The 21,176-nt window shown below is 36.1% G+C and overlaps 1 protein-coding gene across 7 annotated transcripts in view; it reads left to right on the forward strand.

Annotated features, from left to right (window-relative positions):
• Positions 1-1,274: 1,274 nt before the first annotated feature.
• The window catches only part of GRIA2 (glutamate ionotropic receptor AMPA type subunit 2), a 145,956-nt gene continuing 126,054 nt past the window's right edge, over positions 1,275-21,176 (forward strand). For 3 of the 7 annotated variants that reach the window (XR_007096394.1, NM_001083619.3, NM_000826.6), the window contains exons 1-2: positions 1,883-2,285; positions 2,822-2,962. Coding sequence is in view for 6 of the 7 variants with exons in the window: in NM_001083619.3 (NP_001077088.2) it covers positions 2,198-2,285; positions 2,822-2,962 (229 nt within the window). In the remaining variant the exon portion in view is untranslated. The other 4 variants (XM_047450131.1, NM_001379001.3, NM_001379000.3 and 1 more) reach the window with 3 other exon arrangements.

Here is a 21,176-nt window from a genome sequence, read left to right on the forward strand (position 1 = left end):
TTTATTTATTCTTTATGTTGCAATTTTGAATATATGTAAGTTATATCTCATTTTTTATTTTTTATCGATTTATTGTAATTTTAATTAATTTTATATATTATTTTTATTATTCAATTTTTTAAAGGTTAAATACATTTTTATTTAGAAGACCTGCTTTATATACAGTGTGGAGTACTTATAACATACTAATAAAATTCTAAGGCATAAAATTAAGAGATATTTTAGTCTATAGTTTATAAGCTTAATAATAGATTACAGCTATTCTCACTTCATGGTTTAGGACTACATCAAAAAGAGGGAAAGGTTATAATTTGAAATGACAGCAATATAGGATCCAAGAGCCATAGAAGCCACTTTGCTCATCATCATTTTTAAAATGGGGAAATTGAGGCCAATGTGATTAAGAAGCAAGCATAAGATAATCCAGTCAGCAATGAAGCTGCAAGCACAAGAAGGCAGCCTGATAGACTCATGGCATTTTGGAATACTAGCAGTTCTCTTTTTAGTACTGTAAGCTCCAATCTCCCTCTTCCTGGAAACAGTTCCTTGTTCTCAATCTTTCTTTATTTGTTTAAACCAGTAAAGACATGCAACTTGGTGGGGCTTTTCTGAGTCCGCAGAGGGAATTGTCAGAGCAGGTTTCCAGGAATGAGCTTGGAAAAAGCACCATGAAGAACATAAATTTCACACGGGAAGTCCAGTCATCCATCTCGCCATCAATTCTCTCCCTTCAAACTTTTAATATCTAACCTCATCTTTCTTTCCCTGTGGCCCGCGTGTTCAGTAGAGCGTGGTGGCTTACTTTCTTTAGGCAGTGATTTTTCGAAACCCCCGGCCAAAACGCGATGGGGAAACAGATTTCTAAGTAAGTCTCTGGGAAAGAATCTGCATCTCTGTGGCATTCCTACACTAGCTTCATCTTCTAATCACTTTCCTCTAATAGCCTTTCCTTAAACCAGAGTCTCTTGCTTTCAATCTGCATAAAGCAAGGGCTTCTAGGAAACCAAGTCTACATGACTCTACAAGGGAGGGATTGCAGTGAAAGCTGCGAGAAAGACCCGTGCGCTCTGTAACTAGGCGAGTCAGCATCACAGCCCAATGGAATATACTCTAAAGATGGGATTTTCATGCAAAATATTTAAAAGATTCCATCTTGATCTCTTGTGCGGCTTAAGCATTTAAAGATATAACTTGGGGTTCTCCCTGGATCCTGGCTACATCCCATGAAGCCCAAGTGCACAATTTTGGAATATTTCCTCCACGGTGCTTTGCTTGCTTGTTTGCTTTCGGCTGGGTCAGGTGAGGAGGATGACAGGGCTTCTGTATTGCTAAATGGGTTTTCACAGGAGATGGAAGATAAAAATCAAAATTATTTGTAACGTAAGACAGCAGGGCCTGGTGAGAGGACGCTTCGCCGCCAACAATTAGCAATTCGGCTTCTACACAGCAGCCGGAGATCAGCTTTGCTGCATTTGGTCCAGGTTGGAGCATCTCCGCAGCAGCTGCAACAGCCGCACGAAGGTAGCTCCGGGCGGGGAGCGAGGCGCTGTCCTCGGTGCTGAAAGGCCGAGGCGCGCGGTGGGCGCGACAGCCCCGGAGACCCGAGGTCTCGCGGAGGGACAGCGGCTACGGGCCCCGAGCTGTGCTTTCTCAGCGCCGCGCACGCGACGCGTCCACGGTGGTGCGGGGTGCCGGGCGCCGTGCGGGGGAGGGGGCGCGCGCTCCCGCCTCCTGCCGCGAGTCGCGCACGCGCGCCCGGGACTGCCTGCCCCTCTCTGTGACTTGCCTGTGTGTGTGCGTGTGTGTATGTGTGTGTGTGTGTGTGTGTGCGCGCGCGCGTGAGTGAGAGAGGAGAGAGGGAGAAGAGAGCGCGAGAGAGGGTGAGTGTGTGTGAGTGCATGGGAGGGTGCTGAATATTCCGAGACACTGGGACCACAGCGGCAGCTCCGCTGAAAACTGCATTCAGCCAGTCCTCCGGACTTCTGGAGCGGGGACAGGGCGCAGGGCATCAGCAGCCACCAGCAGGACCTGGGAAATAGGGATTCTTCTGCCTCCACTTCAGGTTTTAGCAGCTTGGTGCTAAATTGCTGTCTCAAAATGCAGAGGATCTAATTTGCAGAGGAAAACAGCCAAAGAAGGAAGAGGAGGAAAAGGAAAAAAAAAGGGGTATATTGTGGATGCTCTACTTTTCTTGGAAATGCAAAAGATTATGCATATTTCTGTCCTCCTTTCTCCTGTTTTATGGGGACTGATTTTTGGTGTCTCTTCTAACAGCATACAGATAGGTAGGTACCCTTTGTGCTATGCTTTTGAATTGTGCATAATTTGGTGGTAATCTTTGTTCACAGTGTACAAATTAATTCATGTCATGTAGACTTATGTCATACCTTGACTGCATTCCAGATTTAAACTACCTAGAATATACATGTTTTTCTTAGGATGAAGCAAAAGGAAAAGACTATGCCTTTGATACAATAGAAGAAAAGGTCCTCTCATTTCGGATCCCCAAATTTTATTAATTCTGCCTTAGCGACATTTTCCAGTTTGCTCAGATTTTCTTGGGGTCTGAATGCAAAGCTTGTGATTACATGGAAAGGTGAAGGTTTCTGGCCGCCTACCTCGCCTTCAGACTCTCATCTGGGTCTTGACCCCTTGGCTAGCTTTTGGATATTCCACCCCCGCTGTCCGAGTCCGTAGGTGTGTTTATTCGGCCTATTCGCGTGAATAAGAGACTCTTGGATTTTTGGGCGCTAGCGCGCGCCCCTCCTTTCCCTCCCGGGGCACTGACACTGTTCTCTTGCTTGCTGTTTGTTCTTTGCAGGGGGGCTATTTCCTAGGGGCGCCGATCAAGAATACAGTGCATTTCGAGTAGGGATGGTTCAGTTTTCCACTTCGGAGTTCAGACTGACACCCCACATCGACAATTTGGAGGTGGCAAACAGCTTCGCAGTCACTAATGCTTGTAAGTAATGAATATTCATGCCTTTCGGGTGCTGCACGCGGAAGGCCAGCGAGTGTGAGTGTGTGTGTGCGTTTCTGGGGTGGTGTGTGTGCGTTTCTGTGTGTCAGTGTGTGGGTGTGAGTGACTGCACACACGCGTGCGTGTGACCGTGTAGAGAGAAGGTGGCTGTAATCTCAGGGACCCCCGCTGGCTGGAGAGGGCTGAAGAGAGAGGGAAAGGACGTCAAGAGTGTGCGCATTAGGGAGCCGGGGTGAGGGTTGGAGCCAGGGAGGGCGGCTTTCTTGGGTTCAAGGGGTTTTCGCTCATCTTGAGTGCTTCAGGAGAAGCCCTCCCACCTCGCTCCCCATCGAGCGCCTGTTGGCACCCTGCCCACAGAGAACACGTTGTTCCCCAGGGCGCGCAGTCGGGCTGTTGGACAAATCCCACGAGGGACTGCCGGAGCCCAGTGGCCTCCTGCCCCAGCAGCTGCCGCTCTCGCCCGCTGCCCCCAGTTTAGATCCGCAGCACCGGCTGGGCTCACCCTGCGGCCCTCGCGAGCTCCATGTTCTCCTCTTTGGGACAAGTTGTTGAAATGGTTCCGGAGTTGGGATCGGGGCTGTTACATAACGCCCACCCGAGGGGCGAGGAGCGGGGCTGACGCAGGCTCAGGCCGGCCGGGTGGCGTGGGGGTGGGGCGGGGAGGCGGTGGAAAGGGGGAGCGCTGTCAATTTCTCCTGCTCAGTTGCGCTTCCGCTTAAGTTGGAGGGGGCGAGGCCGCCAGGGGCGCCGCGGTCAGCTTGCCAGCCCGGCGCGCTTTGTTCTCAGGTAGCTGGGCTCCAGCAGAGGCAGCCGGGGAAAAGGACTGGGAAGCCGTGGGATCTGGCCGAGTTTGAAAATCTGGAGAAGTCGCTGATCAGCCATTTTAGTCTTTGCAATGCTCCATATTAACCCTCTCACTCCGCGCAGTGCTCCGGGACTCGCTGGGAAGCTCTGTGATGGGTTCAGATAAAGTACTAGAAACCAAACAATTAGGGATCTAAAAGGATTGGTGTGGAGGCCAGAGGGCTCCGGTCCCCGCGCTCGCTCCCCCGCGCAGGCGTGGGCAGGCAGTCGCGGCCACTGTGCCTTCCTGCCCTCTTCCCAGCAGCTGCCATCATTTCCTGCCGACTGCCCTGCGGTGATTCTTTCCTGCCCTAATATTCGCAGTCGTTATTTCATAGATAACAATTTGGGGGAGATCTGCGGATGGCTCACTTCCCACTTTGGCTACAGAGCTTGGGGAAAATTACCACAGGAAAAGCCCAACTGCAGTTTTCCCACGTCACACAAACAACTGGTTGCCATCCCTCCTCCCCATTTTAAGCTTTAGTCATATATTCCGTGATTTAGCTTGATTATCATATTGGGCCCATCATCAACTCTTGCAACTACTGTCACCCGGACGAATGAAGAAACAATTTTCTTAGACTGATAGAATAGGGGCATTGTGTGGTAATTTAGGATTTAATTGTTTATAATGGATCTATTTAAGAAGGTTTCACTGCTATATATTTTCTTCAAATGTTGGTGCCAAGTAAGAAAAGAAAGAAGGGCGGGTGTGGGGGTACAGAACGAAAGAGAGAAGAGGAGAATTAAAGTGGATTTGCAGCTTTGAAAAACGTCCGTAATAGAATATCTCAGAAAATTTTAGTACATGACATACAAAGAAATCAACTTAATTAAAATTTGAAGACTTCTATATTTGACCTATTTACCTAACAGATTTAGACTATTCATTTGATATCAGTAAGTTCCAATTTTTCCTGAATTACAAGTTTGTCATGCAACTGTTCTGAGTATCTAACTGTGTGTAATTGTATACTTATGTGAAAATGCTTTGAAAAGTAATGACTCCTAAGGAACGGCTGTGGGTATAGGAAGGACATAGGTTTTGAATGTGAAGTGAAAGTATTGACAGCTGTACTTTTTGAAAACAGTCAATGATTGCCAAGTTCACTCATTGGTGAAAATAATGAGAAGAACTTTCTGCAAAAATAACATATGTCCATTGACAAAATGAATATTCCTTGATTTCAACAAATGCTAAACTACTGTATTGGGGCTTTATAAAGATAAAAGACTGTGATTAGGTTATTAGGTTTAGATACTCATTCTCAATATTTTTGAATTTTTAAATAGAAATTTTTCTGAAATAAAATATATAGCCAGAATATGTGTATATATTAAACACATATGTAAATTCATATATTTGCAGGGTGAACACATTCATGTAATCAACATGTGGACTTCTTTTAAAAAATTACCACACAATTTAATTTGTCCATAGTTCTGAGAAGCTGGAATAATCAAGTCTTCATTTGCACAGTTTTTTCCCCTCCTCAGGAAGTGAAGCTAAAATAAATATGTTCACATTTCCAGAGACTAAAATTACCCCTGCATGGATTATTATAGTAGGATAGTAAAACAAATTATTTTCAGGAACTGAACACATTTTAAAGATGACAACATGATAATTCAAAAGCATGACATTTGCAACTCCCATGTTATAAGTAATCTTACTGTTTGCTAAAAAGAACTAGGGGGGTACTGTGACAGAAGAGAGGCTCATTGGATAGAAATTTCTGGGGCTGACATTAACTCATTGACTGGGCAAATCGCTTAACATGTTTGTGACTCCGTTTTTTTATTCTCTGAGACATTTCAAAATTTAGAGATTGCAAAATGAAATAGAGAATTTGTATCCTTTTTTGTTTGTTTGTTTTTGTGCTATGGACAATAGAAGATGTAAAATTAGTTTAACTCTTTTGAGACAGAATGAGAGAGAGGGAAAGGGAAAGATGCTTATGTAAACTACAATCACAAAGTCAAGAAATGGATGAAAATCTCTAGTGTTAAATTTGTCAGCATGGGTCTTGATCGTTTAAATCCTGCTTAAGATTTTTCTCCAATGCCTATCCTTTGTTTTCTTGCCTTTTTATTCAGGGAAGTCTGTGATTCTTTCCTTTATAAAGTGGAAGCAACAGCATTAAATACATTGACAGCTAAGATCTAAACATCTTTTTTCCCATTTCCTCTAGAAATCTCAGGAATTTTGCTATCTAATGACATTATTAGATGATAGGTATCATCTTGCAATGCTCTTGAAATAGCTTGCTCTTCCAATCATAAAAATCCCACAGAGCTAAATTTACGTATTAAAAAGTGGATTTTTATACCTTAGTAATACAACTTCAAAAGGGAAAATTTATTAGTTTACTAATTTAATTTTATTCCTGAGATGGAGGAAATTATTTGGAAATGTTGAAGTGGACGTTGATATGAGGATCCAGGGAGATCCACTGAATGGGTTAAGGTTATACAAAGAAAATGAAGTCATTCTATTCTGAACTGGGTAAAATGATTGTGTGCATCTTACTGAGCTCCCACATCCTTCCCTTTCACAATCACAGTGGGATAATGAAAGTACCTATTTTGTTCCATTTGTTTCCATGGGTACCTGAGGCAGTAAGACAGATTTTCAGTTTCTTTCATTTTTTCTCCATCATTCCCTTTTTCTTTTCCTCTCTCCCCTCACTCATTTTTTCCTTTCCTCCCTCCCTGTCTTCTTAGCTGAAAAGAGAACTAAGATTTTTTTTCCTGAAGGTTGTTCAAACGTAAGCCTTCATTATTAAAAATACAAAGCATAAAAGCAGAAAAAAATCTGAGATTAGTATCTGATGTGTAGAACAGTTGAAACCAGGGATGGGTCCTAGGAATCCAATCATTCATTCAATAAATGTTTAGTGAGTGCCTTCAAGGTGTCAGAGAATAAATGACTGCTTTTTTTCATGTTAACTTTTTTTTTTTTTTCTAGCCTTTTCCCTCTAGGCTCTTTTGAATAGTTTTCAAAACCTTGTAGGCCTTCATGCCTTTAGTGTGCATTGGTAGCTGTGGTCTTGTCTAGGAACTTTAGTATGAGGATATGAGGGTATTCCAGTAGTTCTTAAACACAAGCGGTTTAATACAGCAACTAAAAAAATCTGCCTTTTTGTGAAAATAGTAACTTTCATATTAATATATATATACACCACGTATTGTATGTAGTTAACTGAGAAAATCAATAGCAAATTTTAGGAAAATACTAAGTATTTTTACATTATAAAAGATTTTAGTAAACTTTGATGCTATGCTAATTGGTAAAGCTTGCTTAAAATAAAACTGTGTAAAAGGGCTATAAACATGAGTACTTGATTCTACAGGGTTTGAAAATTAAAAGTATTAAATATTGAATTTACTCCCCAGAACCTTCCCTTTCTATTTCTTTTGAAGACTGAATTTTACAAATAGTTATTAGTCTAGTTAAAGATGATTTAATAGTTTTATATTTCAATTCCATACAACAAAATAAATTATAAAAATATTAAATTGAAGGAAACAGCAAATAAAAATCTACTTTTTCTCCAAGCCAGCAGATGGAGATGTTGGAGAAAATATTGTTGTTTCATAAAACTGTTGCGCACACCGAATGCCTTTTAAAACATTGTAAAGAAATTTATTTAGATAAATTGAAAAAAATAAATGACATCTAATTTGAAGAAAATTATTCAAAATGCTGTCTTAAAAATAACTTTCATTGCCTTTTAAAAATAGGTTGCCCTATATTTTATGTTTTAGAAGATAAAGACTGTTAGAATAGATTGTAAATGCTCTTAGAGGAGAGAGAATTCTAAAATTATATTTTTTCAACATTTTTAATCTCGATTCCCCAGCTATCATTTTTGAGCTGTATTTATTATTAAATTTTAGTCACAAATTACTGAGATTTTTGTATCTGTGTTCATAAAATTAATTGATGTTTGCTAAGACTTTATTGCACTTGGATGAATGGACTTCTGTGTGTATGTATTTATAGTTACAATTATAGAGTGTAAATAGTTACAGATTGGCTACGCGATCCTGTTTTGTCATGTTTGTTGAGGTATTTACTAACACCTAGAGTTACTGACTTTAATATATGCAAAACTTTCATAAAACTAGACTCAAGTTGGACTTTCTTAAGCAATGATGACAAACCATGAACACATGTGCCAGGGACACAATACCGTAAAAGCTGGTGTTGTAAATATTCAGTTATATTCAATTGCAGATTTTGAGGAAATGCCTCTTTGTATGTCAGAATAATTAATCTGTTATTGAAGTATTTTCAGTTAAAATTTCATACTTCACTTATCACTGAAGAATTTCAAGAAAATGAGTGCGTATTAAGTAGAAATCAAAGAATGGCATTGGTTGAAATATTCTATTTTGAGATGAGAGAAACTAAGTATTGAAATAAAAATTACCTTATGAAACTATAGAGGCTTAAATTAGTAAAAATTTATTCTTATGCTATGCTATTTCTGTTTGAAAGTCTTGCAAACTTCAACCTGCTGGCTCAAGAAGGATGGGGTATTTTCATTTCACATCAAGCCTTTAAAGTGCTAGGGACATTGTACTGAGACATTATGACAAGTGGATGCTGATTCATGCCCAGATCTCAAGTTTTCTCATAATCTCTTCCAATAACACTTAGCAAACTTTCAAACTTCTTAGAACCTTGAAAATTTTAAGGAAGGGTGAAAAAGAGCAGTTGTTTTTGAGTTATTTCAGTATGTTGCTATATAATCAAGTTTTCAGAGAGTATGTGTTTTTTCTCTCTTCCTCCTCTTCCCTTTTTATAAAAAAGTCAATAGAAGTACTTAATCTGCAGAGCAAATGCTATTACAAGAAATAAAGTCTAAATTGAGATAGAGAACTGTCCTTTAAACATTTTCTTATGTGAGCAGAGAGTGCATTCATTCAGAGCTAAAATCTTGTATTTGATGTAAATATTTGATTGAAATGTTAATGGCAGCTGGGTAGATTATATTTCCTTTCTTTTTACAGTAGATTGTACTGAAGATACCCCAGATTTCATTAAGTGTTTGCTCTTTTATTATTATAGCAATTTTAAATAAAAATTTCTCAGGTTTTCTCCAAAGATCTACATAATTGCCAAATCTCTTGTATGACTGTGTCTCTTCAGTACAATAGGAAAATAAGTTGCTGAATTCAATGTTAAAATTAGAAAATCACACATGATTTGAAAATGTTCAAACATCAAAATGTCTATCAAATCAGATTTTACTAGTTTGGAAAAAAAAAGGAATGTGATTCTTACAATGCTGTTCATAAGATGTCTAACACCTATTATTTTTCAGTGCTATTCAATTTAAAAGTTTTTTGTCATCTTTGATAATTTTAACTTATAGAATGAAAACATTTTAAAATTAACGAGGAGAATGTAAAATGTGGGCTTGTTGAAGACAGGCCCTTGCTGCTGTTAACTGTGTGTTCTTCACGAAGTCTAGCTCAGTTCCCAGTGCACCGACTCACTTAATAGTTATTTACCTATTCAACACATTTAATTTTACAGTAGATGTTCTTATCATAACATTATAATTTTTAAAGTTAGAATTTTGTATTTGCTATACATATGGATTTCAGAATACACAATTTACTTTGTACCTTCCTTGAATCCTATTTAGACAGAGGTGTATTATATTTTTCACTTTCATCTACAACCTAGATATTGTCAAAGTTGTTATTTTTATCTCTAAAGCTATATTGATGTATGTTAAAATGATATGCTGAATATATGTACAATATACATGTTGAAGAGGATTTATAAATGCTAACTGTTAGGATGATGCAAAAACCATGTTGCAGCCAGGCTCAGTGGCTCATGCCTGTAATCCCAGCACTTTGGGTGGCCGAGGCGGGTGGATCACCTGAGGTCAGGAGTTCAAGACCAGGCTGGCCAACATGGCGAAATCTTGTCTCTACTAAAAGTACAAGAAGTAGCCAGGCGTGGTGGCACCCATCTGTAGTCCCAGCTACTCAGGAGGCTGAGGCAGTAGGATCGGTTGAACCCATGAGAGAGATGTTGCAGTGAGCCGAGATAGCACCACTGCACTCCAGCCTTGGAGATGGCAAGATTCCATCTCAAAAAAAAAAAAAAAAAAAAGAAGGAAAAAAGAATGACCCCCCCACCTCCCCCCACCAAAAAAAAACCCAAAAGCAAGAACCTTGTTACAAGTGGGTAGAACAGGAGATGCCCTTATAAGGCCCCTGACCGTTATGGGTCTGCCAAGCTTCAATTTTGGTTTTAGATGTTCCAAAAATGTGTCCTTGAATGGACACAGAATTGTTTTAGTAACTCCCTCCCTGCCCCCAACCAGGATATTTTATACTACAATTTTCTATATCAATTCCTTTAATTAATTTTAAAAATGTACAGAATCACAAAAGTATTATTTTTACATTTTAGATGGTATCTAGGAAGAGAAGTTTCTGGACATAGTTTCTCTTTGTGGACCAATTGCTCTATTTGCATTAATTTGTGCAATTATTTTGTATGCGTATCCTTATTTTTTCTTTTTAGGGCCTGCAGTTTATGTTTCGGGTTTGTTTTCTAACGATTTTGTTTTGTCTTATTTTCATTCTGTGGATAATTTTCTTGGGTGAAACACCTTGTTATTATATGTTTAATTTTTCACACATTATCATATTACTGGGAAAATCATCCAAAGTGCTTGATACTACTCCAGCCTGGGTGACAGGGCAAAAACTTGCCTCAAAAAAGCACAACAGAGTCTTGAAATTTATTGGTATCTTCAGCTGAATAGAACAAATAAATTTAGGAGATACCAGGTTCCTTATAGAAAGGGAATTGGTGAGTAGCTATCTTCTTAGATTGCTTACGTTTTTGTATCCATGTTTCTCAAACAAATGACATATGTAATGTTTATAGTTTTACTATTTGGATTTTTCTTCAGAATTTTACTTCATAATTTTATATATTTATGGTTATGTTAATACTTACATTTTTTCCTGATTGTTTCAGTATTTCAAATATAAACACAAACTGGGTTGAATTGTGAAATGGCCTAAATTTTAGTTCTTCTAAAATACTTTCAATAGGGTATTTTATTTCTATGAAGTTTATTTTCCCTTCATGTAAAATTGATTTCACATGATAAATGCTATGATGTTTACTTGTTATAGTCCTCTAATACTTTCACGCTGATGAATTTCAGTGAACCTGAGAAGGTACTCCTGCAATGTAAATATTTTTAGTCTAATCTTCCTAAGTACCCAACTTACTGATAGAAATGACTGAAATGTGTTTATATAAACTAAGTATATTCTATGCTTGTTAAAGCATAGTAGAATATTACCTGATTCTTTATCCCTACAAGAATAGAATATGACCTAAATTAATAATGTCTAACTTCAGCATAAATTTAATGGAAACTCAAGTTAAATAACTTGATATAAGAAAAGTTTCCTCAGCTCATAAACCCTTTGCAGCTAAAATTCTCTGTATCAAAATACCGTTCTGTTTCAGATTTAGCATTCATTTTACAATTTCTCTAGCATCAGTATTCAAGATATTGCAGTAAGAATATGTCAACAATTTTTTTATATATATTATTTATTGTGCATGAATAAAAGGATAGAGTGGGCATGTTCAAACAAATAGTTTCAAGGTAAGGGAAAATATTTTTTTCCTTATTGTAGATTGAAATTACTATATTTCTTAAAAGTGATGGCGGGAAAGCTGTGGAGAAAAAGGGAAAAACTCTAAGAGGCAGCATAACTTGGTGTACTTGGCAGGGCTGTAAGAATTTGCAACTCGAAATTAATTCATTCCTTCCTTCCTTCCTTCTTTCCTTCCTTTCTTCCTTCCTTCTTTCCTTCCTTCCTTCCTTCTTTCCTTCCTTCCTTCCTTCTTTCCTTCCTTCCTTCCTTCTTCCTTCCCTCCATCCATCCCTTTCTGCTTCCTTTCTTCCTTTTTTTTGTTTAAGCATCTCTTTCATTTGATGTTTGCTTAGTTTGCATGTCTGTGGTCAATCTTCTATATTAACCTTGAGCTACTATAGAACAGTGAATTCTTATAATAATTTTAATTTTGTCAAATAATGGAAGCTAGTTATTATTTCTAGAGGGAGACATGAAAGAAAGGAGGCACTATGCATTTGGTTTTGATTTTTTTTCCTTTTATTTTATTTTATTTTATTTCTTAGCGAAAGGGTCTCGCTCTGTTCCCCAGGCTGGAGTGCAGTAGAGCTATCACAGCTCGCTTCAGTCTTGAGCTCTTGGGCTCAAGCAATTCTCCTGCCTCAGCCTCCCAAGTAGCTGGGACTACAGGTCCATGCCATCACGCTGAGCTAATTTTATTTTATTTTTTATTTTTATTTTTCATTTTTCTGAGATGGAGTCTCGCTCTGTCACCCAGGATAGAGTGTGGTGTTGCAGTCTCGGCCCACTGCAACCTCCGCCTCTGGGTTCAAGCAGTTTTCCTGCGTCAGCCTCCCCAGTAGCTGGGACTACAGGTGCACACCGCCACGCCTGGCTAATTTTTTGTATTTTAGTAGAGATGGGGTTTCACCGTGTTGCCTAGGCCGGTCACGAACTCCTGATCTCAGGCAATCCGCCCACCTCGGCCTCCCAAAGTGCTGGGATTACAGACGTGAGCCACCATGCCTGGTCGCAATTTTATTTTTTATTTTTGCAGACGGGTTATCACCATGTTGATCAGGCTGCTCTTGAACTCCTGGCCTTAAGCGATCCTGTCACCTTGGCCTCCCAAAGCACTGAGATTACAGGCATGAGCAACCATCCTCGGCTAACAATATGCATTTCTCTGAGGAAAAAACACAAATTTAAGGTGCTTTATTATTCTGGGCTGGCAAAAAAGCCATCCTTGAAAATTATGAGGTAAAATACTGACTGAAAAGGTTTGAAAAATTTTATAGGTAAAAATATACAATATGGAATGTACGACTAGACTGCATTTTATAGGGAGCATGGAATGTGTCATAGTAAAGTTGTCTGTTGCTTGAGGTAACTGAAATGTAGCAATTCTTGATAATTGCTGACGGGGCTCATCTTAGTAGAACAGAGAAAAGTTTGTCTCTTGTTTTATATTATACTGGTATTATATTTCTATTTCCTTAACACCTAAGTTGAAGATATTTTTTAAAAAAATTAAAATATTTTTAGTGTTTTAAAAATAAAAACATTTTGGATTTAAATTATTTTTCACAATTCTACATGTGTTTAAAAAGTATTAGTATGTCTTGGAAGAATATTTAATAATAATTCTCAAATGATATGTAATATTTTGTCATTGAGGCTAACTATTCAAAAGTTATTCAAAGGACAATTTAAGACTAAAATACGGAACACAGTGAGTAGTTTTATTCTGAAAAATAAGGACCATAACATATGCAATAATTAGTTTGGTCTATATATTTGAAAATATTGTCATACACACTTTAGTGATGCTAACTTGGAAAATTGAAAACATATTCCTTTAGGGCTTTATGTTAGCTATTATGAATTCCATATATTTAAGGGGCTGCCTGTGTTCACTGATCCAGGTAGCACAGAAATAGCTCCCACATTTCTACAGCATGGGAGTGAAGCATCTCTCATCATTGCAAGTCTGGCAGAGAAAGATCTGGAAGTGGAGCTCTCTATAAGGGTGTGTGTGCTTTGCTAGGTTTTCTTGAGAAGTACATTTCAAATCATGTCATGATTTTCATCTTTATTCGTGTGTTATCTGCTGTTTGTGAGAAATTGAAGAATTTCTATCTTGCTTTTAATCTGTGCATGAAATGGGAGAATTTTGGCTTTATAATTTTCAAGCACTTTCATCATTTATCATTTTACTTTTATATTTTTTACCAGGTTTTTAGTTTTTACTAGTTTATGCTATTATTACTAATTTACATACAGAAAGGAAATTTTGAGAACACAGGCAACAATTCAGAAAGGGATACAAGGAAGCGCTGTATATAGTTTATTCTTTGGAGGGAAGGACCATAAAATCCTCATCTTTATATTTCAGAGCACACACAAGTTCAGGGTTGTCATCTTAATGATGAATACACAAGTTTTTCATCTGCGAAGATTAAAAAAAATTGATTCGTTGTAGTTTGTAGCCTTGGTGTCTTGGGATACAGAATAGCATGGGTTAAGCATCTGCACTTAGAACCAAATTCTAGTCCTTGTACTAGATGTATGACATTGGACAAGTTTCTTAGTCTACATCTCAGTTTCTACCTCTGTAAAAGGGAAACAGACATTATAGGATTGTTTGCAAGATACGCATTAGTCATAAAACACTATGAGCTGTGTTTGGCACAAGTACATAAAATTAGCAATATTTTATTATTATTTCCTGTATTAGAATTTTTGGATTGTTTTGATGAGCACTTGCTATTAGAGGCAGAAGACAAAGAAAAATGCAGTTCTAACTTTCTTGCTGGAATCTTTTCCTACTGTTTGTATACCTGGGCAGGACATAATGCCTTTCGGTGACAAAGAAGAGACTAACAAAATAAATCACATAAGTCACTGAAAGATATATTTGGTGCACTATAGGACGAGAATGATTTTTAAAACCTGAGGTGTTACTCGAGTAGTACTTTGAATTCAATCTTCCCCTTTATTGCATGTCACTTACATCTTAGGATGTTGAACAATTTCAAACTCTCATATTTTTAGCAGATATTTCAAGCACATATTTAAGATATCTCAATATTTAATGGAACTGAGCACATTATGGATTCCTAATGTTTTATTTTATGTAATTAATTAAATTAAATTTATTTAAATGAAAATCAGCCAAGCAACATAGGCTTTGGAATTAGGCAAAAATAGGTTTGAATGTAATTAGTAACTTTGTGATACAGCATGTGTTTTTTTCTCTTTGTAGAATAAGGCTCAGTTTCCTTGTCATATCTGATAATATTATTGGAGGCATTATATGAGAAAATAAATGCTTAGATTAATTTGTCAGAAACGTTCCCAGTATTTATTTCCTCCCTTTATATCAGCCCTTTACTGATATAAAACCTAAACCCCATGCTCAAAGCAATGGAGGAAGGTGCTGCCTTGAGAAAGCTTAGATATTTTATAGCTTTATGTATAATTTTTTTCTTTCTGAAACACTTCCATATCTGGTTGATCCTCACTGTCGCTCTGTAAAGCTCGGTAGCATAAGTGGAATTGTTATTATACCCATTTACAGAAAACAAAACAGAAATTTATGTGATTTGTTCTTAGCTGCTATAAATTTGTGGAGAAGCTTTTGGCTACAAAACAAGTTGGCTACTTCCTAAACCAGAGCCTCTATTGGTCTCAGTTGGCAACATAGCTAGTATATTTGAATAAACAGACATGAATTAAAATTATGGCTTCACTATTTACTAGTTCTATGACTTTGTATTAATCAGCTAAACTTTCTAGTCTTGTTTTCTCCTCTGTAAAATGGGGTTCATTATAATGCCTGCCTCATGATGTAATTATCAGGTTTAAATGATAGTAACTGCTGCATATAATATAGTGATTAATACTGCTAATTTCAGTGATTCCAATTCCCCTGAGTATATATTGGTCAGATATACTTAGCTCCGTGCTTATAGGTGCATGGAAGGGAAGGTAGCTAATAGTTTTCTCTATGTAATTTTCAAAATAATAAACTTCTTTAATATAATACAACCATTCAAGCTGAAAATAGAGGCTAGGATTTTACTTTATTATCATTTTTAGAATACTAGTGAACATGTACATTTTACAAGAATTTTGATGTGTTCTTGATCCACAAACCCTCCCCCCACCAAATTCAATGGATAAATAACAAGAACTAAATCATGCATAATTTAAAAAATGTAGATGATGGTTAACATTTAGTGTGAATATCTGATACTATTCAGTTACCAATTCCACCACTGATACATTTGTGCAATAAAAATGATGGTAGGTGTTTCTCACGAATAGGACCTTATTAAACTTGGAACAGGTTCATTGTGACTTCTTCCGTGAGGATCAGTTTTATGCATCTTGCTGCTGGTTGTCTAGGTCACTATCATCTTTTTCACAAGTTTATTCCCCAGCACAGTATAAGGAGGCTCTTTTGCCTGTTTCTAGTCTGCTGAAAGGTCTGGAAGGTTTGAAACATTTTCAAATAATTACTTGGTCAGAGATTATTTCTCTTAGGGAGCAGAGAGATGTGCAGTTGTGCGGGGTGGTTGGGGGAAGATTTTTACTTACTGACAATGAGTAAAAATAAGGACTTCCTACATATGAACTTTGTGTAGTTCATGAAATATTCACTACCTTATTCTGAATTGACTCTTATTCTTCTTATGTTGCCTTATATTGCAGTAACAGCAGCCATATGAACTCTTCAATGTAGGATCATAAGACCTTTGGTCAAAATTACTCTTTTAAAGCAAATCTGTATATTTACACAACAGTTATATCCATGACTTTGGATTTGGGCTGGAAGTAGAATACACTGGATAAAAGCTATATACTTATCTTTAAAGTGCTTTTATCTACCTTGTTTGTATGCACCAAAAACCTATCACAAGATTTTCTTCTTTCTTTTCTTCCTTTCTTAAACTTTTAGTAGATACCTGCTCTGTACCAATCTGTTATTGTCTGAGGTGACAAAGAACAAGATAAGGCTTCTGTATTGAACATTTTTTATGGGTTCAAAATCTTTTCTTTGTGGCAAAAGTAGAAGTTGTTAATGTAGGTTAGCTAGATGATTTTATGATTACATTAGTCTCGGTAATAGACATTATTTCTAGATCATTTATAAATATTATCCTATACGTTGGGCCTAGATTTTAAATTATCTTAAAAGCAGAAATGGTAATTCAAAAAATTGTAAAGAAAACATAAAAAAGATTCTCAATGGAAGGTGAAAAGCCATCATCTTAAATACTGATTTAGAATATATTGCTGAAAACTTGGGTAGCCAAATGAGTACTACTGCTGTTAACAAACTAATAATGCCAATTGCAGATCTGTTAAAAAGTTTCAATTTTTCGCATCATATTTGGAGATGAAAATTTATATTTTATTTTGCATATGATTTTTTTCTTTCATTGCCACAATCTCTTCAAATCAGTTTAAACTGGCATAGACTACATAAATTGCTGGGTGATGTTTACATAAATTATGGGGATTAACTAATTAATTATAATAAATACTATTTTAGGTTGTTACTGAAGAAGCTAGTTGCAGGTTTTAAATAGTAAGTTTTACAAAATACTTTAAAATGTCAATGCATATACCTATTTTGAATAATCTAAGAGACACTAACACCTTGCTAGTGTCTCTTGTTAAAACAGATTTTATATAATTTAAACCTTGGTTATTATAGGGGTTTGAGAATTTCAGGTAGAAAATCATGATTATCTGAAAAAAGTTGATGCAGCTTTAACATGTAACAAAAATTATCTAATAGAATTAAAATATTTGCTTACAATAGCATTTTGGTACTATGGATGATTTAGAATGTAAAACATGCAGAAAATTTTAATTTAGCTTCTTGTGGTCTTTATATTTTGAAGCTTAAAAATTGTGATGAAAATAATCATGCATATGGTAATTTAAAAAAAACACTACACACGGGGATATAATAAATATTGTCTTCTTTCACCTCATTTCTATGTCTCTGAGATAATCACCATTGATGGTTTCCAGAAATGGTAGCATAATATACACTGTTCTTTATCTTGATTGTTTTCTTCTTAACATAAATCGGAGTTCTGCTTTTATGTGCAGAGATTTTCCTCTTCTTTTTTTCTAGTTATTGCATGGTATTCTGTTGTTATGTGGCCTTTTTGTTGATGATTGTTTTCATTTTTGCTGTTTCTTTTAATAATATGTCCAAGTGGGTTTGTAGAATAGTTTGCTATGAGTGGAATAACTTGTAGTCAAAAAGTGTTTGCATTTAAAACTTTGCTGGATATACAAAAAAGGCATATCAATTTACAACCCTACCTAGAGTGTATGAGTATGTCTGTTTCTGCCTAATATCACAAGGTTAAATTTTTTAAAGCTTTGCTCTTGGTATCTTATTGTTTACATTTACTATGGTAAGACGTTATTTGTATTTCTATGTATGTGTGTGTGCATAAACACACCTGTTCATTCCTTTGCCCGATTTTCTTTTGGGTTGTTGGTCTATTTATGGGTGAGTCTACTTATTATTATTTGATACATACATTAAAGTAGCACACTTGTGATGTGTTTCAGCTGTTTTACCCAGCTTTGTGTCTTTTTAACCTGTTTATCGCTTTTTGGAATGACAATTTCAGTTCATGATTTTTATGAATACACATATTCTTAAATTTTATTTAGTAAAATTTAGAAATTGTTTGCTTAATTTCCTCAGGAATTTTGTGCCTTGCTCAGAAAAACATTTCCCACCGTAGTTTATTTTTTTTAAAAAACTGCCTGTGCTTTAATACCATCATATTTTGGTATTATGTTTCCAGATAAATCATTGAATCATCTGGCTTTATGTGATTAACAAAACCTACAGAATCCCGTTTTATTTTTCCTTCGTAAGGTTAGCCAATTGTCACAACGTATATAAACATGAATTTTTACTTCATTGATTTGAAATGTATAAGTTTTTTTTTTTTTTTTTAATTTTGAAAGTCTCATTCTGTCATCCACCCAGGCTGGAGTGCAGTGGCATGATCATGGCTCACTGTAACCGCAAACTCCTGAGCTCAGGTTATTCTTCTGCTTCAGCCTCCTGAGTAGCTGGGACTACAGGCACATGCCACTGCCTGGTTAATTTTTAAAAATAGTCTGACTGTGTGGACCGGGCTAGTCTCAAACTCCTGGCCTCAAGCAATCCTTCCATCTTGGCCTTCCAAAGTTCTGGGACTATAGGTGTGAGCCACTGCACTTGGCCCAGATTTTTTTCTTAAGTAAATAATTCCTCAAGGAGTTACAAACAAATAGGGAATTTACCCAGAGTGTGAAATAAAGAAAATTAAAACTGTATTACAAGCAAAGAGATGTAAAGTCATGCAAGGCATTTGTTTCCTGAGCAGTGTTGTTATCATAAATTGTGCTTTTGTGTTTCTGGGGTCTCAGATCAATAAAAGAGGATGTCAGATTTTGAACATTAACGGAGCCCAGAGGGATAAATAAAGGATGTTATTATGTTTTTTTGGCTTGTGTCATAGCAGTAATATCACTTAAATGGACTACTCGTTTTGCATATTTCTTAACCTATATCAAGATTTAAGTAATGGGTTACGATTATGTCTTGGTTCTTGAATATCACTTTGAAGTTAATTCAGTGTAACAATCCATATGTGTTCACAAATAGAATGTTAAAACTAAAGACCGCAATCTATATGCAATAAAGAAAGGTGAAGGAACTCAGTTACTATGGCTTCATTAACTAACACTGTATTTAGTTTCATCCCCGGTTTGTCTTAAGAATCAGTTATGTGCTCTACCTAAAGCCAAATATCAAGCTATTTATAACATAAATTTGATTTAAACTGGAATACTAAATAAAATTCTAGAAAGTTACTTGCGTCAAGATATACTTTCAGCCTGCCTTATGGTGCATGTCATAAACTGTGTATTTTTGGCCAACCGTCAGGGAAATTTATAAATCTTTAACCACTTTATTTTGTAGAACTATGAACTTAATGTGGGCTTATTGATAGGGGCAAAAGATGAGCAAAGACCTTGAAGACCCATTGGCTTTCCATGAGCATTAAAGTGGAAAGATTTTAACTTTCAGTATAATTTAAAGCAATATCTTTTGTTTAATCTGCAAGACTCTACTCATCTGCTTATATTTTAATGTATCTTTGATAGAAGAAAATTTGCCTTTTTGAAAGAAATAAATCTACATGAGCAGAACTGCATTAAAGCCATTTGTAAACTTCATAGCTTCATAATATTCACACCAATCATTTCTTTTCCATTTTTGCAAGTTTTTAAAAATTCTTCTTTTATCCATTACAAAACACTGCTGCAAATGAAATTTCTTTTGCATATGTATTTTTCACCATTTCTGATGACTGAAGTATAATTACTGGATTAAAGGCCATGAAGCGTTTAGTTAAGTAAATCAATTTCTGATATATGCTAAGGAAATCCAATCCAGACTATAATCCCATCAATAGTCTATGAAAAGTCTAGTCTTTCATACCCTGTGCATCATTGTTACAATTTTTAAAATTCTTACCTATTTGATACCTAAAAATATTTTTTGTTATATAAAATAGTTTTTCATATTTATTATTGCACACTTATGTTTCTTCTTTCATAAACAGTTTATTAAAGTCTTTTGCCCAATTTTTATTGTCATTGCGGTACTTTTTCCTATTGAATTGTATGAGTTGTTTATTCAAGATGACTATGACAGAGGAAGATGGGACTAGAGAGTTGCACATCTAGCAATTTAATGCTTCTGCCGAGGCAAGAACCATGCCACATCAGCTTGGATGTCATTGATTAGAACTATTCCCATGAAATACCCAACTTCAAGGGGTTGGAGACTAATCCTCCTTATGTCCAGAATAGAACTGTGTATTGGTGAATATTAATAATGCCTATAATATATGACACTCCTTTGCTAATCAAAACGTATTTAATTCTTTTCCATGGTTTATTTTTTTCTTTCAATTTTGTATATGACTTTTTAAAAGGTACTGTTTCAAAGATGTGCAATTTTTGTTTATTTTTGGAATGTGCTTCCCTCTGATATATCTGCAAATGTTTAAAATTTCCACTAACAGAGGAAGACAGAATGGAAAAGAACTTGCCTCTGCCAATTCTTCTAGTGGTTAATTCTATATTAATAACATAATTCTGTTGTTAATTTTATATTGCTCTATTTTCATTATAATTTCTAATAATATACTTGAAACTATATTTCTTATTTTGACAATTAGAAAGATTGTCTTTCAACTTCTTACTTTATGAATTGATGACATTCGTGAGTCAAGATTCAGAACATCTATATTCTACTTTGTATTTATATGTAAATACATGTATATATACATGTATTTTTGATGTCATTTACTTTAAAAATGGAAAAATCAATAAGTATTGTTTACACATCTATATATAGCTAGGTGACTATTATTCAATGCAGAGCCAAGTACCATGCTATGATTAGATTTTCCATTTTTATATATTTTTCCTGTATACTTGAAATTTCCAAATGTTATTATACATTATGTGGTTTTAAAATATTTTTAAGTTCTTACTATCGTATATCTAATTCATGTATTCTAGTCTTTCAAGAGACTTTATTCATCTTCCTTGTGCAAACTAGATTGGCTTCTCTTGATCCTCCTGAACAACTGACATATTGAGATAGCAC

This window comes from Homo sapiens, chromosome 4 (genome assembly GCF_000001405.40).
Source record: "Homo sapiens chromosome 4, GRCh38.p14 Primary Assembly".
Classification (NCBI taxonomy): domain Eukaryota; kingdom Metazoa; phylum Chordata; class Mammalia; order Primates; family Hominidae; genus Homo; species Homo sapiens.